This window comes from Homo sapiens, chromosome X (genome assembly GCF_000001405.40).
Source record: "Homo sapiens chromosome X, GRCh38.p14 Primary Assembly".
In the NCBI taxonomy this organism is placed as follows: Eukaryota; Metazoa; Chordata; class Mammalia; order Primates; family Hominidae; genus Homo; species Homo sapiens.
Genome location: NC_000023.11, coordinates 153,926,675 through 153,945,872, shown reverse-complemented (window position 1 = coordinate 153,945,872; position 19,198 = coordinate 153,926,675). Strand labels below are relative to the sequence as shown.

General features: G+C 57.4%; 2 protein-coding genes across 5 annotated transcripts, besides 8 other annotated features; both read left to right on the top strand.

Annotated features, from left to right (window-relative positions):
* Positions 315–1,078: an enhancer, noted in NCBI's record as "H3K4me1 hESC enhancer chrX:153210247-153211010 (GRCh37/hg19 assembly coordinates)". NCBI's record gives its function as "activates a minimal SCP1, AML or CMV promoter by ChIP-STARR-seq in naive H9 embryonic stem cells {active_cell/tissue: H9 hESC(naive)}" and the evidence as "EXISTENCE:reporter gene assay evidence [ECO:0000049][PMID:30033119]".
* Positions 988–1,047: a silencer, noted in NCBI's record as "silent region_21076". NCBI's record gives its function as "represses an Ori minimal core promoter by ATAC-STARR-seq in GM12878 lymphoblastoid cells {active_cell/tissue: GM12878}" and the evidence as "EXISTENCE:reporter gene assay evidence [ECO:0000049][PMID:35858748]".
* Positions 1,230–10,604, top strand: RENBP (renin binding protein). Of its 2 annotated transcripts, none has more exons than NM_002910.6 (11): positions 1,230–1,289; positions 1,455–1,564; positions 1,718–1,793; positions 1,903–1,978; positions 2,155–2,327; positions 2,794–3,018; positions 3,842–3,923; positions 4,220–4,395; positions 5,640–5,771; positions 10,297–10,384; positions 10,469–10,604. In NM_002910.6, the coding sequence occupies exons 1-11, from the start codon at positions 1,263–1,265 to the stop codon at positions 10,585–10,587; spliced, it is 1,284 nt and encodes a 427-aa protein (NP_002901.2). In that variant the 5' UTR covers positions 1,230–1,262; the 3' UTR covers positions 10,588–10,604. The 2 variants fall into 2 exon arrangements, with proteins under 2 accessions (NP_002901.2, XP_016885187.1); XM_017029698.2 differs by having other exon boundaries at positions 1,230–1,366.
* Positions 1,258–1,387: an enhancer, noted in NCBI's record as "active region_30043". NCBI's record gives its function as "activates an Ori minimal core promoter by ATAC-STARR-seq in GM12878 lymphoblastoid cells {active_cell/tissue: GM12878}" and the evidence as "EXISTENCE:reporter gene assay evidence [ECO:0000049][PMID:35858748]".
* Positions 5,664–6,428: an enhancer, noted in NCBI's record as "H3K4me1 hESC enhancer chrX:153204898-153205662 (GRCh37/hg19 assembly coordinates)". NCBI's record gives its function as "activates a minimal SCP1, AML or CMV promoter by ChIP-STARR-seq in primed H9 embryonic stem cells {active_cell/tissue: H9 hESC(primed)}" and the evidence as "EXISTENCE:reporter gene assay evidence [ECO:0000049][PMID:30033119]".
* Positions 9,566–10,070: an enhancer, noted in NCBI's record as "H3K4me1 hESC enhancer chrX:153201256-153201760 (GRCh37/hg19 assembly coordinates)". NCBI's record gives its function as "activates a minimal SCP1, AML or CMV promoter by ChIP-STARR-seq in naive H9 embryonic stem cells {active_cell/tissue: H9 hESC(naive)}" and the evidence as "EXISTENCE:reporter gene assay evidence [ECO:0000049][PMID:30033119]".
* Positions 10,071–10,576: an enhancer, noted in NCBI's record as "H3K4me1 hESC enhancer chrX:153200750-153201255 (GRCh37/hg19 assembly coordinates)". NCBI's record gives its function as "activates a minimal SCP1, AML or CMV promoter by ChIP-STARR-seq in naive H9 embryonic stem cells {active_cell/tissue: H9 hESC(naive)}" and the evidence as "EXISTENCE:reporter gene assay evidence [ECO:0000049][PMID:30033119]".
* Positions 10,567–11,146: a silencer, noted in NCBI's record as "silent region_21075". NCBI's record gives its function as "represses an Ori minimal core promoter by ATAC-STARR-seq in GM12878 lymphoblastoid cells {active_cell/tissue: GM12878}" and the evidence as "EXISTENCE:reporter gene assay evidence [ECO:0000049][PMID:35858748]".
* On the top strand, positions 10,836–16,648 carry NAA10 (N-alpha-acetyltransferase 10, NatA catalytic subunit). 3 transcript variants are annotated; one of them, NM_001256120.2, is made up of 8 exons: positions 10,836–10,989; positions 11,398–11,496; positions 11,872–11,912; positions 13,289–13,334; positions 13,442–13,557; positions 13,758–13,802; positions 15,026–15,110; positions 15,650–16,648. In NM_001256120.2, exons 1-8 carry the CDS (start codon positions 10,969–10,971, stop codon positions 15,884–15,886), a joined length of 690 nt encoding a protein of 229 aa, NP_001243049.1. In that variant the 5' UTR covers positions 10,836–10,968; the 3' UTR covers positions 15,887–16,648. The 3 variants fall into 3 exon arrangements, with proteins under 3 accessions (NP_001243049.1, NP_003482.1, NP_001243048.1); NM_003491.4 differs by having other exon boundaries at positions 11,872–11,930; NM_001256119.2 differs by lacking the exon at positions 13,758–13,802 and having other exon boundaries at positions 11,872–11,930.
* Positions 17,295–17,854: a silencer, noted in NCBI's record as "silent region_21074". NCBI's record gives its function as "represses an Ori minimal core promoter by ATAC-STARR-seq in GM12878 lymphoblastoid cells {active_cell/tissue: GM12878}" and the evidence as "EXISTENCE:reporter gene assay evidence [ECO:0000049][PMID:35858748]".

The window sequence follows — 19,198 nt, the reverse complement described above, 5'->3', positions numbered from 1 at the left end:
CGGGTCAGTCATAGAGCTACAGACAGATCTGGGCAGCTGGAAAACAGGCCCAGAGAAGGGGGGTGTGGGCTGTTACCTGCAGTTACTGTCTGGCCTTAGAGCTGTGTCACTTGTGTAAAGAAGTCAGTGCCAAGGCCGAGCGCGGTGGCTCACACCTGTAATACCAACACTTTGGGAGGCCGAGGCAGGTGGATCACGAGGTCAAGAATTTGAGACCAGCCTGGCCAACATGGTGAAAAACCGTCTACTAAAAAAAAAAAAAAAAAAAAAAAAAAAATTAGCTAGGCATGGTGGCAGGCACCTGTAATCCCAGCTACTCCAGAGGCCGAGGCAGGAGAATTGCTTAAACCCGGGAAGCGGAGGTTATAGTGAGCCAAGATCATGCCACTGCACTCCAGCCTGGGCGACAGAGCAAGACCCCATCTTGGGAAAAAAAAAAAAAAAATTAGCGCCAATGGCTGCCCATTACTGACTGTTGAGGTAGTTGGTGACAAACTGATTCAAAAGAGAGGACTTGCTAGGCTGGGTGCGGTGGCTCACGCCTGTAATCCCAGCACTTTGGGAGGCTGACGCAGGAGGATCGCTTGAGCTTAGGAGTTCGAGACCAGCCTGGGCAACATTGCAAAACCCTGTCTCCACTAAAAATACAAAAATTAGCCAGGCATGGTGGCCCACACCTGTGGTCCCACCTACTCAGGAGGCTGAGGTGGGAGGATCGCTTGAGCCTGGCAGGTCAAGGCTGCAGTGAGCTGCCTGGGCGACAGGACACTGTCTCAAAAAACAAAGAAACAAACAACAACAACAACAACAAAAACAGAACTTGCCTCCTGTCTACCCTGTGTGGTGACAGGTCAGAGGGACCTCTGCATTCAGGCCCACTAGCTGTTCCCTGTCCTGCTGCACCCCTGCCCCACAGGCTTGGTAGGGCCAAGGCCCTCAGCCGCCCTGCCGGGGCCCCTGGTGTAGGGCGGGGTGGGTGGCAGCCCCGTTCCCCCTCATCCCAGACCCTCCGGCCATCCCAGCTTTTCCCACCAAGCAGGATCTTGAGACCAGAGCTCCCAGCAGGGGCCCTGGAGGGACTGGCCCATTCGAGTGGAGGGTCGCGGCAGGAACAAGTGCGGGGGTCGGGCTCAAAGCCCCGCCCCAGGCCCAGCGGAACCCTGAAGAGGAGGGGGAGGGTGAGCCGGGCGCGGCTGTGTCAGCTGAGTGACAGTCACGGGACCGCGACCAACTCTGTCTGGCTTCCTAGAGGAGCAGGAGGGATGAGCAAGGGTCTCCCAGCGCGACAGGCCAGTGGTGGGGTGCTTGGGGGGAGTGCTGTCTTGGAGGGTCCCGGGGATGGTGACGTCTGAAGCCCCGTGCAGAGGTGGGGAGATCCCTGAGGGCTGGTTCCCGAGGCTGGGGGGGCCTAGGTCCCATGTGGGGGCTGCGCCTTCAAGCCCCATTTCCCCTAGGACATGGAGAAAGAGCGAGAGACTCTGCAGGCCTGGAAGGAGCGCGTGGGGCAGGAGCTGGACCGCGTGGTGGCTTTCTGGATGGAGCACTCCCACGACCAGGAGCACGGGTACTCGGCGTGCTTCTGGAGTCCTCAGCAGGGTTTTTGCCCTTCCTGAGGCCCCTTCTCACTCTCAGGCACCTCACAGATTTGCTGGCCCCAGAGGGGCAGGAGGGGCTGGCAAGGCCCGTTCCAGACTTTGCTAACCCTGCCTTCCCACAGGGGCTTCTTCACGTGCCTTGGCCGCGAGGGGCGGGTGTATGATGACCTCAAGTATGTGTGGCTGCAGGGGAGGCAGGTATGGTGTTCCCAGCCTGGAAGCTCAGGCACACGGCCCATCGCCTCAAAGGTCTCCCCACCTCACCCCAGCCGGCCACTTAAGCCACTTTCCCTCCCGTACCCCGCAGGTATGGATGTATTGTCGCCTGTACCGCACTTTCGAGCGCTTCCGCCATGCTCAGCTTCTGGACGCAGCAAAAGCAGGTAGGTGCCCCCTTCCTGCCCATCTCCCAGTGACTCCGTCCATGTTTACTCAACAGGGCACATGTGCGGAGTTCCTAGAGGGATCTAGAAGCAGCGAAGGACTTGGGGAGGCTCAAGGGTGGTGTGTGCGGGGCGTCCTGGCCTTACCCCTGGCATGCCAACCCCCCAACCTCCAGGTGGTGAGTTCTTGCTGCGGTATGCCCGGGTGGCACCTCCTGGCAAGAAGTGTGCCTTTGTGCTGACTCGGGACGGCCGCCCGGTCAAGGTGCAGCGAACCATCTTCAGTGAGTGTTTCTACACCATGGCCATGAACGAGCTGTGGAGAGCCACAGGGGAAGTGCGGTACCAGGTGTGTGAGAGGAGGGTGCCCCTGAAGACCCCACCCTGCGACCCTGCCATGGCCACCTGATGCATTCCCACTCACTACGCAAGTCCCCTCCCATGGACCCATCTGTGGGCCAAGTCCCCTTCACCTCTGAACGCTCCCCTACCCCCACAGGGGCGCAGACGGAGAGGGCCCTATCCACGCCCTGCCCCCAACTGGGAAAAGGCCCTTCCCTCCTCCCTGGGCTCCCTGTGCTGCCAGACCCTGACCCCACAGCCTGGAAGGGGCTGCACCCCCAGACTGGGAGCAGAGTGGGGCGGATCTGACTGGCCCCTACTGGACGCTGGGTGCCAGGCCCCAAGTAGGCCCTGGATGAAGGTGTCTCTGGGTTCAGGAGAGGAATTGGCTCTCCCACCCCAGGGCCGTGTCCAGGGGGATGGCACAGGATGTAGCCTCAGCCTGGGCCTCCCCTTGCCTCCTGCACCCCCAGACGGAAGCGGTGGAGATGATGGATCAGATCGTCCACTGGGTGCAGGAGGACGCGTCGGGACTGGGCCGGCCCCAGCTCCAGGGGGCCCCGGCTGCGGAGCCCATGGCGGTGCCCATGATGCTACTGAACCTGGTGGAGCAGCTCGGGGAGGCAGATGAGGAGCTGGCGGGCAAATACGCAGAGCTGGGGGACTGGTGCGCCCGGAGGATTCTGCAGCACGTGCAGGTGGGGGATGCCTGGGGAGCTGGGGTGGTGGGAGGCCTTCCACTCCCCCACTCCCCTGGGCACCCTGGGGCTCGACACACCTGGAGAGACAGAGATTCGGGGATGTCCCCACCTGGGGAAGGTGGAGGGCCTGAGGGCTGGAGGGAGGATGCGGAGCCCCAGGCAAGCCCTGACAGAAGGAGACCCCTCCTGCCCCACCCAAGTCCCTTCCAGGCCTCTGGGCCGTGAAACCCGCCCTGTCTGTCCCCATTCAATGTTTCACCCTCCCCTGCTGGAGAGGATCAGGCCAGAAGTGAGGATTACATCTTCCTAGGCCCGGGCTGGACGCGGTGGCTCGTGCCTGTAATCCCAGCAGTTTGGGAGGCTGAGGCGGGCGGATCACCTGAGGTCAGGAGTTGGAGACCAGCCTGGCCAATATAGTGAAACCCCGTCTCTACTAAAAATACAAAAATTAGCTGGGCATGGTGGTGCATGCCTGTAATCCCAGCCTCTAGGGAGGCTGAGGCAGGAGAATCGCATGAACCCAGGAGGTGGAGATTGTAGTGAGTCGAGATTGCGGCCACTGCACTTTAGCCTGGGTGACAGAGCAAGACTCTGTCTAAAAAAAAAAAAAAAAAAAAAAAACAACAACTTGCTAGGCCCAAGGGAGTGAATCAGCCCCTCCTTAAATGCCCCTCTGAGCCTGGCCCACCCAAGCCAGCAGGTCCAGGGGCTTGGGTAAGAGGGAGGGAGGAAGGGCTTTCCGGAGCTGGGTCTTTCTAGTTGGGTGGCTGGGTGGGTGAAAGGGCTGGAGGCAACATTCCCTTCTGCTCCTTCCCGGTAGAGGGATGGACAAGCTGTGCTGGAGAATGTGTCAGAGGGTGGCAAGGAACTTCCTGGCTGCCTGGGGAGACAGCAGAACCCAGGTGAGGGGCGGGGTGGGCTGGGGGCCACCCAGGAGGAGGGGAGCGCTGAGCCTTGTGTTCTGGGCTTCAGATATGGGAGTGCCTGGCGGGGGCGCCTTGAGGAGGCAGAGGAGCGAGGATGGGCTTCCCAAGGCTGGGGGTTTCTGCAGAGGAGCAGGCTTCCAGGGCCAGGGAGCTCAGAGCCTCGCTCATTGTTAGGGAGGGAGCAGAGAGGTGCCAGGGGCTTTTGCTCCCTCTGTTCCCTCCCTCAACCCCACCCCCCGCCCCCCGCCCTTCCGTACTCCACCCCTCACCAGGCCACACGCTGGAAGCCGGCTGGTTTCTGCTCCGTCATTGCATTCGGAAAGGCGACCCCGAACTTCGAGCCCACGTGATTGACAAGTTCCTATTGTTGCCCTTCCACTCCGGATGGGACCCTGACCACGGAGGCCTCTTTTACTTCCAGGATGCTGATAACTTCTGCCCCACCCAGGTGGGAGAGCGCCCAGGGCCATGTGTGACCCACGCTGTTCTAAGGCTTTCTGCCCAGGGAGGTGGTTGCTTCTCTAGAGGGTAACCTGGGGCTGGATTGGAACCTAGAGGCCTGCTCTCAGCTTCTGTGCCAGTGTTACAGGAAAGGGGTCGTGATCCAGACCCCAGAAGAGGGAGGGTTCTTGGATCTTGCCCAAGAAAGAATTCAGGGCGAGTCCGCAATGCAAAGTGAAAGCAAGTTTATTAAGAAAGTAAAGGAATAAAAGAATGGTTACTCCATAGGCAGAGCAGCCCTGAGGGCTGCTGGTTGCCTTTTTTTTTTTTTTTTTTTTTTTTTTTGAGGTGGAGTTTTGCTCTTGCTGCCCAGGCTGGAGTGCAATGGCGCCATCTCGGCTCACCACAACCTCTGCTTCCCGGGTTCAAGCGATTCTCCTGCCCTAGCCTCCCGAGTAGCTAGGATTACAGGCATGGGCCACCATGCCTGGCTAATTTTGTATTTTTAGTAGAGACGGGGTTTCTCCATGTTGGTCAGGCTGGTCTCGAACTCCCGACCTCAGGTGATCCGCCCGCCTCAGCCTCCCAAAGTGCTGGGATTATAGGCGTGAGCCACCGCACCCGGCTGGTTGCCCATTTTTATGCTTATTTCTTGATGATATGCTAAACAAGGGGTGGATTATTCATGCCTCCCCTTTTTAGACCATATAGGGTAACTTCCTGACGTTGCCATGGCATTTGTAAACTGTTGGAAGTGAGGACGAGCAGAGGTCACTGTTGTCGCCACCTTGGTTTTGGTGGGTTTTGGCCGGCTCCTTTACTGCAACCTGTTTTATCAGCAAGGTCTTTATGACCTGTATTTTGTGCCGACCTCATATCTCATCCTGCGACTTAGAATGCCTCAGCCGTCTGGGAATGCAGCCCAGTAGGTCTCAGCCTCATTTGACCCAGCTCCTGTTTAAGATGGAGTTGCTCTGGTTTACACACCTCTGACACCATGTCATATGGAGGCCACCAGGGAGCTGGCGAAACGCTGATGCTCAGACATATATGCCATTCGTCTGGGGCCCTGGTGTCTATTCAAGAATCTACAGGTCAGGAAGCTGATATCACTGGGAGGGGTCCTTCAGAACTTCCAAAGATGTCCCGCAATTCACCTCCAGTAGCTTGGGCCAATGGAGACGCAGCCAGGTCTGGAAAGTTGCGGAGGGGAGTTTCCTGCTGAGATGCCTGCCCCTGCTCTCCCCTCAGCTGGAGTGGGCCATGAAGCTCTGGTGGCCACACAGTGAAGCCATGATTGCCTTCCTCATGGGTTACAGTGACAGTGGGGACCCTGTGCTGCTGCGCCTCTTCTACCAAGTGGCTGAGTACACCTTCCGCCAGGTGAGAGCTGCCTCCTTGTCCCCTCTAGAGGCTGAATGGGGGAATGGGGGGAGTCTGGCCCGGCTGCGCTCTTGCCCCCTCGCTGAGCACAGTCGCTCAGCTGGTCTGAGAGTTTCCGGAGCCCCAGTGCTGTTCGTTCAGTCAACGAAGAAGCCTCTGCCCTCCTAGAGCTCGAATTTTGGTGGTGGGGGCGGGAGGAGCAGAGTGTAAGCAAGCAGACCTAGGTGGTGGTGAGAGTGACAGCTGTGGGAATAATACCACTGGAGAGGGTTGTGGGGGGGCTCTTTCCTATGGGGTGGCAGCAGGGAAGCACTGAGCAGGGGCCGAGTCAATCAGGGGTGTGTCTGAGGGACTGGGAGTCTGGGCAGGGTGGGGCATGTGGCACAGCAGGGGGGCCTGGCAGCCCGGGAGGATAAAGGCAGAGTGGGCAAGGGACGGACTCCAGCTGCCTGGTCTGATTCCATTGTTACCTGGGTCCTGGGGCTTGGAGGGGAGGGTGTTATGGGGGAAGTCTGTAGGGAACAGGGCAGAAGCTGGGACAGCAGAGGAAGCTGTAGCTGTCATCCCAGCCAGTGAGGGCTGGCCCAGGTGGGAGCTGGTGGGGACAGAGGGTTCACAGTCTGGTGGAGCAGCAGTGGGATTCCTGAGTCTCCAGTTCAGACGGAGAGATCTGGACTCACCATGAATGTTTTCAGTATCACAAGAATGTAGATGCTGCCTGGCACAGTGGCTCATGTCTATAATCCTAGCACTTTGGCAGGCTGAGACGGGAGGATCGCTTGAACCGAGGACTTCAAAACCAGTCTGGGCAACATAACGAGACCTGGTCTCTACAAAAAATTTTAAAAAATTAGCTGGGTGTCATGCACACCTGTAGTCCTAGCTACTCAGGAGGCTGAGGCAGGAGGACTGCTTAAGCCCAGTTTGAGGCTGCAATGAGTTATGATCACACCACTGCACTCCAGCCTGGGCTGGGCAACAGAGCGAGACTATGTCTCAAAAAAAAAAGGCCGGGCACGGTGGCTCACGCCTGTAATCCCAGCACTTTGGGAGACTGAGGCAGGTGGATCACCTGAGGTCAGGAGTTCAAGACCAGCCTGGCCAACATGGTGAAACCCCATCTCTACTAAAAATACAAAAATTAGCCAAGCGTGGTGGTGGGTGCCTGTAATCCCAGCTACTTGGGAGGCAGAGGCAGGAGAATCGCTTGAACCCAGGAGGCAGAGGTTGCAGTGAGCCGAGATCGCACCATTGCACTCCAGCCTGGGGGACAAGAGCAAGACTTGGTCTCAAAAAAAAAAAAAACAAAAAAAAAAAAACAGTACAGATGCTGCTGAGATCTATGAGGCAAAAAGGGAAATGGGGGCCCAGCAAAGGAGACAAGAATCAGTGGTGACGCAGGAAGAAAACCAAGCCAGGGGCTCCCTGAAGCCCAAGTGCTAGGAGCAGAGTGATAAGCTGTCTTGACTGCTGCCCAGGAGGCAACTCGAGCTGCTGAACACAGGAAAGGGCATGGCACCCAGTGGAAAGGGCATGGCACCCAGTGGAAAGGGCATGGCACCCAGTGGTGGCAAGGCCTGGGTGGTGAATGAATGAAGATTCATCATGCGTTTCTAAAGCCACGACTCCGACTCCACTGGTGAACCCTGGTACTGCGAGGACTATAGCAGGGGATCTTATTCTGGGGTCTGTGAGCTTCGAAACCGGGGGCGGAGAATCACATCTTTATTTGTACTAACCTCTAACTGAAACTAGCATTTGCTGCCATTATGAGTGGAGGCAATGAACCACATTGGTAATAGAAGTGCCTGGCTTTGTCACCGATAGAAATCCAGATGTGTTTACATTGCATTGCAGTTAGAGAGACATCTGCAAGTATCACATATATTCGTCACTACTTCCAAAGCAGCAGGGTTGTTAGACCTGCAGCTATATCTTAATATTTAATGCATTCATAGAGTGTGTGTTAGGGGCCACCAGTTCTAACTCAAAAATGAAATTGAAGGAATACATTTTAATAAGATATAGATGACATTAAACAATTACAAAAGTTATAATCAACAGGTAAATCGGCTGGGCATGGTGGCTCATGCCTGTAATCTCAGCACTTTGGGAGACTGAGGCGGGTGGATCACCTGAGGTCAGGAGTTCTGGACCAGCCTGGTCAACATGGCGAAACCCCGTCTCTACTAAAAATACAAAAATTGGGCTGGTCGCGGTGGCTCACGCCTGCCATTCCAGCACTTTGAAAGGCCGAGGCAGGTGGATCACTTGAGGTCAGGAGTTCGAGAACAGCCTGGCTGACATGGTGAAACCCCCATCTCTATTAAAAATACAAAAAATTAGCCGGGTGTGGTGGCGGGTGCCTGTAATCCCAACTACTGGGGAGACTGAGGCAGGAGAATCACTTGAACCCGGGAAGCACTCCAGCCTGGGCAACAGGAGCAAAACTCCATTAAAAAAAATAAAAAATAAAAAAAATAAATAAATAAATTAGCCGGGCTTGGTGGCGGGTGCCTGTAATCCCAGCTACTCAGGAGGCTGAAGCAGGAGAATCACTGGAACCTGGGAGGTGAAGGTTGCAGTGAGCTGGGATCACGCCACTGCACTCCATCCAGTCTGGGTGACAAGAGCGAAACTCCGTCTTAAAAAAACAAAAACCAAAAAACTAACCAACAAACAAAAAAACAGGTAAGTCATTATGCATCAACCAACATAACAGAATACAGAAGGCAAAAATCCAGACATTGAAGGAAATTCTTCTTTACCTTCCTGTGTCATGTCAAGCAGTCAAAAAATAAGTAAGGACTTGAACAATGTAACTCAAAAGACAGAATGAATACACACAGAACTAGTTTTTATTTATTTATTTATTTATTTATTTATTTATTTATTTATTTATTTTTGAGACAGGGTCTCTATCGCCCAGGCTGAGTGCAGTGGCACAATCATGGCTCAGTGCAGCCTCAACCTCCTGGGCTCAAGCGATCCTTCCACCTCAGCCACCCAGGTAGCTGGGACTACAGCTGTGTGCCATCACGCCCAGCTAATTCTTTAATTTTTTTTTTGTATAGATGGGGTCTCACTATGTTTCCCAGCCTGGTCTTAAACTCCTGGCCTCAAGTGATCCTCCCGCCTCGGCCTCTCAAAGTGCTGGGATTATAGGCGTGAGCCACTGTGCCCAGCCCAGGACTAGTTTTACTTCCTACAAAGAAGAATACACCAACTCTTATGGGCCACCATTTAAAGAGACATTTTCATAGTGGACTTCAATGTAATTGAGTCCATGATCCTTTTGAGAAGGGGCTGAACTGACAAGCCTCCCTGAGACAGGTGCCCCATGGAATGCTAGTGGAGAGAGAAGGAAAGAGAGTGGAATGGGCACTGGGCAGGGGCAGAGGGAGGAGGAGATGAGTTTGGGACCAATGGTGAGCCAGGACAGGAGTCAGATGAGATTGTGCATCTACTGGAAGACAGGCCTGTGAAGCCGGGAATGGGAGCTCCAAGGGAGTCACTTCTTAAGAGTTTCATGACAGGTCGTCGCCTCCATCAGGGTTCTTTGTTTCTTTTCTTTTCCTTTTTTTTTTTTTTTTTTTGAGACGGAGTCTGGCTCTGTTGCCCAGGCTGGAGTGCAGTGGCGCGATCTTGGCTCACTGCAAGCTCCGCCTCCCGGGTTCACGCCATTCTCCTGCCTCAGCCTCCCGAGTAGCTGGGACTACAGGTGCCCGCCACCACTCCCGGCTAATTTTTTGTATTTTAGTAGAGACGGGATTTCACTGTGTTAGCCAGGATGGTCTCGATCTCCTGACCTTGTGATCCGCCCGCCTCGGCCTCCCAAAGTGCTGGGATTACAGGTGTGAGCCTTTGCACCCGGCCGGGTTCTTTGTTTCTTTGAATCAACGTAACCACGACTACAATCACAATAGAGAACTTTTTTGTTTGTTTGTTTGTTCGTTTGTTTGTTTGTTTGAGATGGAGTCTCGCTCTGTCACCCAGGCTGGAGCGCAATGGCGTGATCTCAGCTCACTGCAACCTCCGCCTCCTGTGTTCAAGCTATTCTCCCGCCTCAGCCTCCCGAGTATACTGCTGGGATTACAAGTGCGTGCCACCACGTCCGGCTAATTTTGTATTTTTAGTAGAGATGAGGTTTCACCATGTTGTCCAGGCTGATCTTGAACTCCTGACCTCAGGTGATCCGCCCGCCTCGGCCTCCGAAAGTGCTGGGATTACAGGCGCAAGCCACAGCTCCCGGCCCGATAGACAACGTTTCTACACCCCAGGGCAGAGTTCTTTCATTCCATCTAGCAGTGTCTCATCCCCTTGCCCAGTCGGTTATATAGTTGTAGCCTGCCTGCTGCGCCCACCCCTGCTTTCATCTTTGTGGAGGACGCAGTGTCGCGGTTAAGATCGCTGGTTCTGGAGCCACGTCACCTGGGGTCAACCCAGGCTCTGACCCCTGGTAGCGATGCAGTGGCATCTGGGCGGGTCCTGCAGGCGCTAGCTGTCACTGTCTCTGTTATTCCAGTTTCGCGATCCCGAGTACGGGGAATGGTTTGGCTACCTGAGCCGAGAGGGCAAGGTGGCCCTCTCCATCAAGGGAGGTCCTTTCAAAGGTGAGTGGGGGAGAGGGCGGGGCCGCAGGGGTTGCGCCTCTCGGCTGCCCCCGGCCCTCACTACCTGCCCGCCTCTACCCGCAGGCTGCTTCCACGTGCCGCGGTGCCTAGCCATGTGCGAGGAGATGCTGGGCGCCCTGCTGAGCCGCCCCGCCCCCGCCCCCTCCCCCGCCCCCACCCCCGCCTGCCGAGGCGCGGAATAAAGGCTGAGTCCGCTCCACCTGCGGCTGTGCGCGCGTCTGTGGGCTCGCGGGAGGGGGGCTGTCGCGCCGAGGGAGGGGCCGGCTCCAGCTCCGGGGCAGCGCCCGCCCCGCCCCCAGGCCCGCCCCGCGCTGACCGGCTCCGCGCATTGGCCCGCCCCGTGCGCTGGCCTGTCCCGCGCATTGGCCAAGCGGCCGGGAGGACGGGCCCGGCGGCCGTGCACTTCCGGCCGGTGGCCGGCCCGGCGCGCACCGCCCCTTCCGCCGTCGCCCAGCGAGCCCAGCTCCGGTCCCAGCCCCGGCCGTCCCGGCGTCGCTTCGGAGCGCGGCGGCAGCTGACTGCGCCTTCACGATCCGCTGGGACCCGCGAGCCCCGCCGCCGTTATGAACATCCGCAATGCGAGGGTGAGCGCCCGGGGCGGGAGGCTGTCCGCGCCGCGTGGGCGCCGGGCCGGGTGGCTGCCGCGCATGCTCCCGAGGGCCCCGGCCGAGCCCGGCCCGGTGGCCCTGAGTGTGCCTGCGGCCGCTGGACCTATGGGGCTGGCCCAGCCCGCCGAAGAGGCCGGGGCGCGGGGCCGGGGCTGCGATTCCCTCCTGTTTGCGTGATGTCGGGCCTCCGTTGGGTGGGCTCCGGGGACCTCCGGGGCGCCCACTCCTGTTCCTGTGCTCCGGGCGTTGTGCAAAGTCAGATCGTCACAGTGCCTGCCCAGCCCCGAGGGAGCGGGGCCGAGCAGACCGACGGGGAGCAGGCTTCTCACCCGTGGTCACCGCCGCCTTAGACTGAGCGCGTTCCACTGCCCTCCTTCCCTGCAGCCAGAGGACCTAATGAACATGCAGCACTGCAACCTCCTCTGCCTGCCCGAGAACTACCAGATGAAATACTACTTCTACCATGGCCTTTCCTGGCCCCAGGTGGGCAGCTTCTGAATTTGGGCATGGGGGAAAGCAGGCCGAGGAAAATCCCATCTGGCCATCTTGGAGGGAGTGGACAAGTCTGTCAGAGCCCAGGGGGCTGTATGGTCGGTGGCGTCCTGGGTGTTTTCAGCTGGCAGACAGGGGCAAAGGAAAAGAAGGCGCCCGAAGGGAGCAGAGAATAGGGGCAGGATCCCCACTTTGCGTCTTCTTTCTGGGTATGGGCAGGGCACAGTGTGGCGAGGGGGAGACCAAGCCACTCAGCCCGGAGGTCATGAGCCATCACACAACTCGCCACTCGTCCAGTTTGTGTCCCTCTAAAGGGCTCTTCTAGCTCCGACAAGAAGTTTTCTCACTCTGTTTTCCTGTCACCAGCTCTCTTACATTGCTGAGGACGAGAATGGGAAGATTGTGGGGTATGTCCTGGCCAAAATGTGAGTCACCAAGGAGGAAGACAGAAGCTACACGTGTCTGGTGGATGCCTCTGTGGGCTTTAAAAAAAATGAATAGGCTTCTTCTTTTCAGTACAGTTGAAAGTTTATAGAAAAATTGAACAGAAAGGACATGGAGTTCTTATAGCACCCCTCAGCATCCCCTCCCTGCCAGCTTCCTCTGTTAGTAGCATGTTGGATTTGTGTGGTCCACTTGTGACAAGTGATAAATGAATGTGATATGTTACTATTATTATTATTACTATTATTATTTGAGACGGAGTCTTGCCCTGTCGCCCAGGCTGGAGTGCAGTCGCGTGATCTTGGCTCACTGCAACCTCCACCCCCTGGGTTCAAGCGATTCTCCTGCCTCAGCCTCCTTAGTAGCTGGGATTACAGGCACATGCCACCACACCTGGCTAATTTTTGTATATTTCAGTAGCAATGGGGTTTCACTACGTTGGCCAGGCTGGTCTCGAATTCCTGACCTCAGGTGTTTCCACCCACCTCTGTCTCCCAAAGTGCTAGGATTACAGGCGTGAGCCACTGCGCCTGGCCGATATATTATTATTAACTAAACCCATAGTTTACATTACTGCACTTCTCTTTGTGTTGTAAGCCCCATGGTTTTGACCAAATGACATGTGTCCACCTTCATATTATCGCAGGATAGTTTCACTGTGTTCCACGCATTCATCCCTCCCTCTCCTTAACCCGTGGCAACCACTGATTTTTTACTGTTTGCATGGTTTTGCCTTTTCCAGGATGTCACAGAGTTGGAATCATACTATATACAGCTTTTTCAGGCTGGCTTTTTTTCACTTAGTAATACACATTTAAGCTTCTGCCTTGTCTTTGCGTGGGTTGACAGCTCATTTCTTTTTTTATTTTTTGAGACAGGGTCTCGCTCTGTTGCCCAGGCTGGAGTGCAGTGGCATGATCATGGCTCACTGCAGCCTCAACCTCCCAGGCTCAAGTGATCCTCTCATGTCTGCCTCCCAAGTAGCTGGGACCACAGGCATGCGCCACCACATCCAGCTAATTTTTTGATTTTTTTTTTGTAGAGACAAAAAAAAGTGTTGTCCAGGCTGGTCTCGAACTCCTGGGCTCAAGCAGTCCTCTTGCCCCGGCCTGCCAAGTAGCTGGAACTATAGGCGTGTGCCCCACACCCGGCAGGCTTGGGGTTTTCAGGCAGCAGAGGGTGGCAGGATCGGCTGCTCTGATCCAAGAGGCTCCCGGCTCTCCCCCAGCTGGGGTCTTAGGGGGCTGTAGTGCATGTCCACTCTACAAATGGCAGGGGGGCTGGAGGTGGCTGTGCCTACACTGAGCTCCTTTGCAGCCTCTCCTTTCTCCCTCTCCAGGGAAGAGGACCCAGATGATGTGCCCCATGGACATATCACCTCATTGGTATGTAAGGTCCACCCAGGCTCTCTGGTGGGGGTGGAAGTGGGGGTTAGTTGGGGCAGCCCTCAAGGTCCCAGTCCCTCACCCCATCTCTGCTCTTCTCCCACCAGGCTGTGAAGCGTTCCCACCGGCGCCTCGGTCTGGCTCAGAAACTGATGGACCAGGCCTCTCGAGCCATGATAGAGAACTTCAATGCCAAATATGTCTCCCTGCATGTCAGGAAGAGGTGGAAGCCGGGCTGAGGGAAGGGGGATTGAGGGGGAGAGATACTGCCTTGACGGGGGTCCTGGGGTACCTCAGCTTTTGGTGAAGATCCAGGAAGTGGGATTGGGGGGAAGGAGGGACCAGGAGGAGGGGCAAGACCTGGACGTGCTACCCCTCCCTGGCCAAATCCGTGCAGCTCAGCAGTGCCTTGTTCCCCTGCAGTAACCGGGCCGCCCTGCACCTCTATTCCAACACCCTCAACTTTCAGTAAGTAGATCTCGATTTTTCTAATGGGCTGGGGTTGATCCCAGGTCTGGCCCATCAGGGCACCTGAGACCGGCTGAGTTGCCTTCCAGGTCGGGGGTGGGCCGGCTGTGGGGAAGAGGCTGTGGACCCCAGCACTGCCAGGATACCTCCACATTCACTCGGCGGCTGATGGTTGAAAAGCCGGCATGGAGACAGCACCTGCCTGCTGAAACGTGCTCCATGTGTTGTGATGGAGGAGCTCTGGCCCATGATGGCTGAGGCTGGCGAAGGGCACACGGGCTGTTTAGTAATGTTTGGGAATAGAGAGGTGTGGGTCCCTGGCGTGAGCAGATGCTGAGGAGCAGGACTCAAGCATGACCAAGCACCTAGAAGAATCCAAGAGAGAGCAGAATCGAGGAGAATGCACATTCAGGAAGGAAGGGCCAGTGGCCAGGCAGCCTAGTGGATGGGGGAGGTCTGCCTGAGGACCAGGAGGCCCCGTGTGCCTAGCACACTAGAGAGAACCTGGCAGTTGGCATGCCCAGTAGACAGTGGAAAAAAGTGCTTGCAAGTGAAGCTGGGGTGGGCTGCCTGTGGAGGGACACTAACTGCACTCAGCCCGTTTGGTAGGGGATGAAGAAGAGGGACTGTTGGGAAGGGCGGTGGCCTCTGGGCTGGATGCTGGCAAGAGGGATCTGTGACCCAGATGACGATGTCTGGTGGGAATTGCTTTATAGCTAAGTCAGCAATCCTCATGTCTTAGGCCTGGCAGGGCCAGCCTAGGCCATTGAGTCCAGCTCCCCTTCCAGGGACATGGCCACGCGAGTCTGCACACACACCTGCCCAGTGTAGTCACGGCCCCAGAGCTGCTCAGGCAGGGCTCACCGTCTTTCCTGGGTTCTGATGGCTGTTGTGAGGCAGCTCAGTAAGGGACAGGGCGCAGGGCAGGGAGGGAAGGGGAAGGCTGAATTCAGGGCTTCAGCTCACAAGAAACCGCAGAAATGGATCCTTAGTATCCAGGCTAAGGACACAGAACGGGGGCAGGACGGGTGGGGCGGGCCGCTGTGTCCTGGAGCCTTTGCTGGAGAGAACAGAGGGCAGGTCACACTGGACTTGTTGTCTCAGGATGGAGCCTTCAGGGAGAAAACATGGCACCTTGCTCCAGTAGCCACGATACCAGGAGTGGAGGAGGGTGTCCCCGGGATACAGGTCTTCCTCCTTGCTCTCTAACCCTCTGCCCCCAGGATCAGTGAAGTGGAGCCCAAATACTATGCAGATGGGGAGGACGCCTATGCCATGAAGCGGGACCTCACTCAGATGGCCGACGAGGTAAGCGCCTGCATGAAGCCAAGCAAGGCGAGCGGGGGCGGCACTCAGGAGCCCCAAGACAGTGGCTGCAGGCGAGACCGACTTTGGATGCCAGCTCTTGTGGCTACGTTGCCAGGAGTCACGACCTCAGTTTCCTAGGCTGGGCTTTAGAGGAGGCCATCTGCCTAGCAGCCTGGAGGGTGATGGGAGAGGCAGAGGGAGGAGGCTTTTAGAAGGGAAGTGGGGAGGTCTAGGGACCAGTGGGTGGCCTGCCTGCTCAAAGGTAGTTCTGAGTCAGGGTTCTGCCCAAGGCTCATCGGGTGGCAGGGCTGGTCAAGGGGCAGCGCTCTGTCGTGGGGGCCTCCATGGTAGTCGGTAAGCCCAGGTAGCGGTGGACTGGGGCTCCAGCCAGGTGTCCCCACTCAGTCCCGCGTGTCCTGCCTAGCCCTGCTGCCTCACTATGCCCCTCTCCTCAGCCAGCGACAGGGCCAGGCTCCCTTTGTCTGGAAACTTAGGCCCTGTCTCTTTGCCCCCGCTTCTCCCTGGGTTCCTGGTGGCAGCTGAGGCGGCACCTGGAGCTGAAAGAGAAGGGCAGGCACGTGGTGCTGGGTGCCATCGAGAACAAGGTGGAGAGCAAAGGCAATTCACCTCCGAGCTCAGGAGAGGCCTGTCGCGAGGAGAAGGGCCTGGCTGCCGAGGATAGTGGTGGGGACAGCAAGGACCTCAGCGAGGTCAGCGAGACCACAGAGAGCACAGATGTCAAGGACAGCTCAGAGGCCTCCGACTCAGCCTCCTAGAGCCTGCCCCATCCCCTCCTCACCCCACGAGCTTTCACAATAAATTCGCTCCGTGGCACTGGGGAACTTTGTGTGTGAGCGCGCGCACATTTAGAGGGTGTGTTTCTCCAGGTCCTCTGGTGGGGATGTGAGCCTTGGCCTTTTGACCCAGAGCATCCTGCCAGGCCCGAGTACAAGGAAAGAGCTTTGGAGGTGGGACTCCCTAGTCTCATGACCTTCAGCAGCTGTGGCCCCGGGGAAGGAGGCCCTGGACTTATGGGAGAGACCCTGCCTTGGAGGTCTGCTTGGCCACGCTGAATGTGTTTTGTGGCACAAGCCGGGGCTGCTCAGGCTCAAAGCTCAACAGCAGGGCTCCCACTCTTGGTGGCCTTCAGTTCTCTTCCCACCTTCACCTTCAGACTTTCTCTCCCTAATCACACCTGCTTCGGGCTACAGCAGCTCCCCAGCATACCCGTGGGCTCCAGATGTGGACATCCAACTGCTCATTGGGCTTATCTACAAATGTCCTGTCTGAGTAATGACCCAGCCAGATGCCCCATCAACAGTCCTTGAGTCCTCCCTCCCCTGCCACCCTAATGGTCAGTGAGTCCATGATACCTCTTGAGTCTACTCCCTAACCTGAGTTTGCATTTGAAAATAATTTATTTTTAGTACAATTCCCCGCGTTTCCCCATTGACATTTTGTATTAGTTGGTGTATTTGTTATTGTTGATGCGCCAATACTGATAAGTTATTGTAAACTACAGCCCATGGTTTACAGTAGGTTTCCTGTCTGTGTTGTACAGTTTCTATGGGGTTACACAAATGCATAAAGCCATGTATTCCCTCATTAACAATTTCATGCAAAATACAAAACTGGGCGGCTGTTGGGTGCGGTGGCTCATGCCTGTAATCACAGCACTTTGGGAGGCCAAGGTGGGCGGGATCACTTGAGCTCAGGAGTTGGAGACCAGCCTGGGCAGCATGGCGAAACCCCATCTTTACTAAAAATAGAAAACTTACCCGGGTGTGGTGGTGCATGCCTGTAATCCCAGCTACTCGGGAGGCTGAAGCAGGAGGATCGCTTGAGCCCGGGAGGTGGAGGTTGCTGTGGGCCCTGATCATGCCACCACACTCCAGGGACAGAGACCCGTCTCAAAAAAAAAAAATATATATATACATATATATATACATATACACATATATATCAAAATCCTGTTTTTCATGGAGTCACCCTAACCGTAACGCTCGTTTCTGTGTCTTTCCTCCTTTCCCTTCCCTCCCCTCCGGCTGCAAAGCCATCATTTACTGTCCCTAGTCCCTGGGCGGGCCCTGTATTCCTGAGCCCTCTCTGTGTCCTGCTACTGCAGGTGGCACACTGCTCCTCCGCCGGGTTGAAAACTCGCCACACAGGCCTGGAGCTCGGTTCTCTTTGGCTGGCGCCTCGCACGTGACCAGCAGGCAGCCGGCAGCTGTGGAAGCGGAGCCCAGAGCGCGGCAGGGCGGGGCCGGGGCCGGAAAGGCGCGTCTGCGCACGCCCACAGCTCTCCGCTTCCCGGCTCGGGCGAGGCTGTGTTGATTGGCTTAAGACGTGGGCTTCCCTTTGTATGGGCCGGAGGCGGAGTCCTGTCCCGCCCCGCGCCTGGCGGCAGTGTCTTCCGGTTCGCAAGCCCGCGGCGAGGTTCGTTCCCAGGCTCTGATTGGTCCGGCGGCACTGGGCTCGCGCGCAGGGTGCGGGGGAAGGGCGGGCTTGCGCACTGCGTCGGCCGCGCCCCGGCACCGGTGGAAGGGAGGTGTCCCAGGCTCCCACGGCGCCCGCGGCGCCCTCCTTCCGCCCCGGCCAGGCCCATGGGACCCGGCCCGCCCTCTGCCGTCCGTCCCCGGCGGGCCCGATGCCTGTCGGCCGCTGAGCCTCCGTCCCCATGCGGGCAGGTCCGCGCCTTCTGCGGGCTGCCTGGCTTTTGGATGCTTTGAAGGGGAACAATGGAGCGAAGGATAGACGGAGCAGCAGGGGGCAGTTGCGTTCAGGGCCTTAAATGCCAAACAAGTGCCCTAAAAGCCAGGGCCCAACACTCAGGCCCTAAAGTACGGGCTGAATGGGGCATCCTAGGAATAGCTCTGGAGTGAAAAAAGGAGTGAAGAGAGCGTTTGAAGGCACCGGCTGAGGCCTTTCCTGCCTGCCTGAGCCCTGTGGCTGGCTCTGCTGGGTGGAGGGACCTTTGGGGACCAGTCAGGGCTCGGATGGAGGGGCAAGATGTGTTGGGGCCAGCTAGTGAGAGGCGGGGCTCCCTGGTTCCCCTTGGCCTGAGGCAGCGGTGGGACGTGTGAGTCTCCCGACCAGGAGCAGGTTGGAGTGTGGGTGCGGCTGTACGCGCTGTGGGCAGGGGCGCAGGCTCTCTAGTCTCGCTGGAGGACTCGAACATCGGTACTTCCGAGACCAGCTGCTGGAAGTCCAGGTCCTGGGTCTGGCTAGCTCCCAGGCCTTGAAGCCCCAGGTCCTGCAGACACACACGACGACGTGTTCGAGAAGGGCCTTGGTACTGGGAGAAGGGGGCGGGGAGCTGAGGGAGTGTTTTTTTCCTTCTGGGCAAGAGAATTAATTGCTCACAGTTGAAAGGCAGGAAGTACCCGCACAGCCTCCCCTCCCCAGATCTGCAGGTCAAGGTCATGTGTGCCCGCATTTGCACAGAGCCTGACTCTGACATCCGTGCACACACACGCCTAGTACCCCTGCACTAGTGCCCCCACGCCCGCCTTCGGAACACACGCCTGGTGCCCAAGTGCCTTGCCTCTCTCCCCACATCTATACCCCAGGGATTTCCCTCCCACCAAATTGAAGCCAGTTGTCTGCTTGGCTTGTCAACCGCCTCCCGCCTCCCGCCTTCCCGATTTCCCGGAGAAAAGCTGCTGCCCTGTGGTAGAGGGTGGAGGAAAGCCCCACCACCCCTGGATGAGGGGGGCCCCAAGACTTGCCCCCAGGGTAGCTAAGACCTCACTCCGAGGGGGCTGCCCCCCTCAGGCCTATGACGGGCAGGTGCAGCTGCAGGGGAAGGGAGGCAGAGCAGTCTCTTCCGGCAGCAGGAAGTGGTAACCGCCTATGGGGAAATTGTGGGGCTGAGCAGAAGGGGAACCGGAGCTGAACTCTCCTCCCCTACCAAGGGGGCCTGGAGGGAACGGCAGCCAGCTGCTGAGGTTCTGCTCTCTGGTGCTGACCTTCCTTCCCCCTCCCCTCTGAACTTCCCACCCCAGCTCTCAAGGCTCCCTGGGGCTCCCTGGGCCTCTCTGGGGGCTGACTTGGGAAGGGAGGACCCCATCGGATGTCTGGGGGAAGGA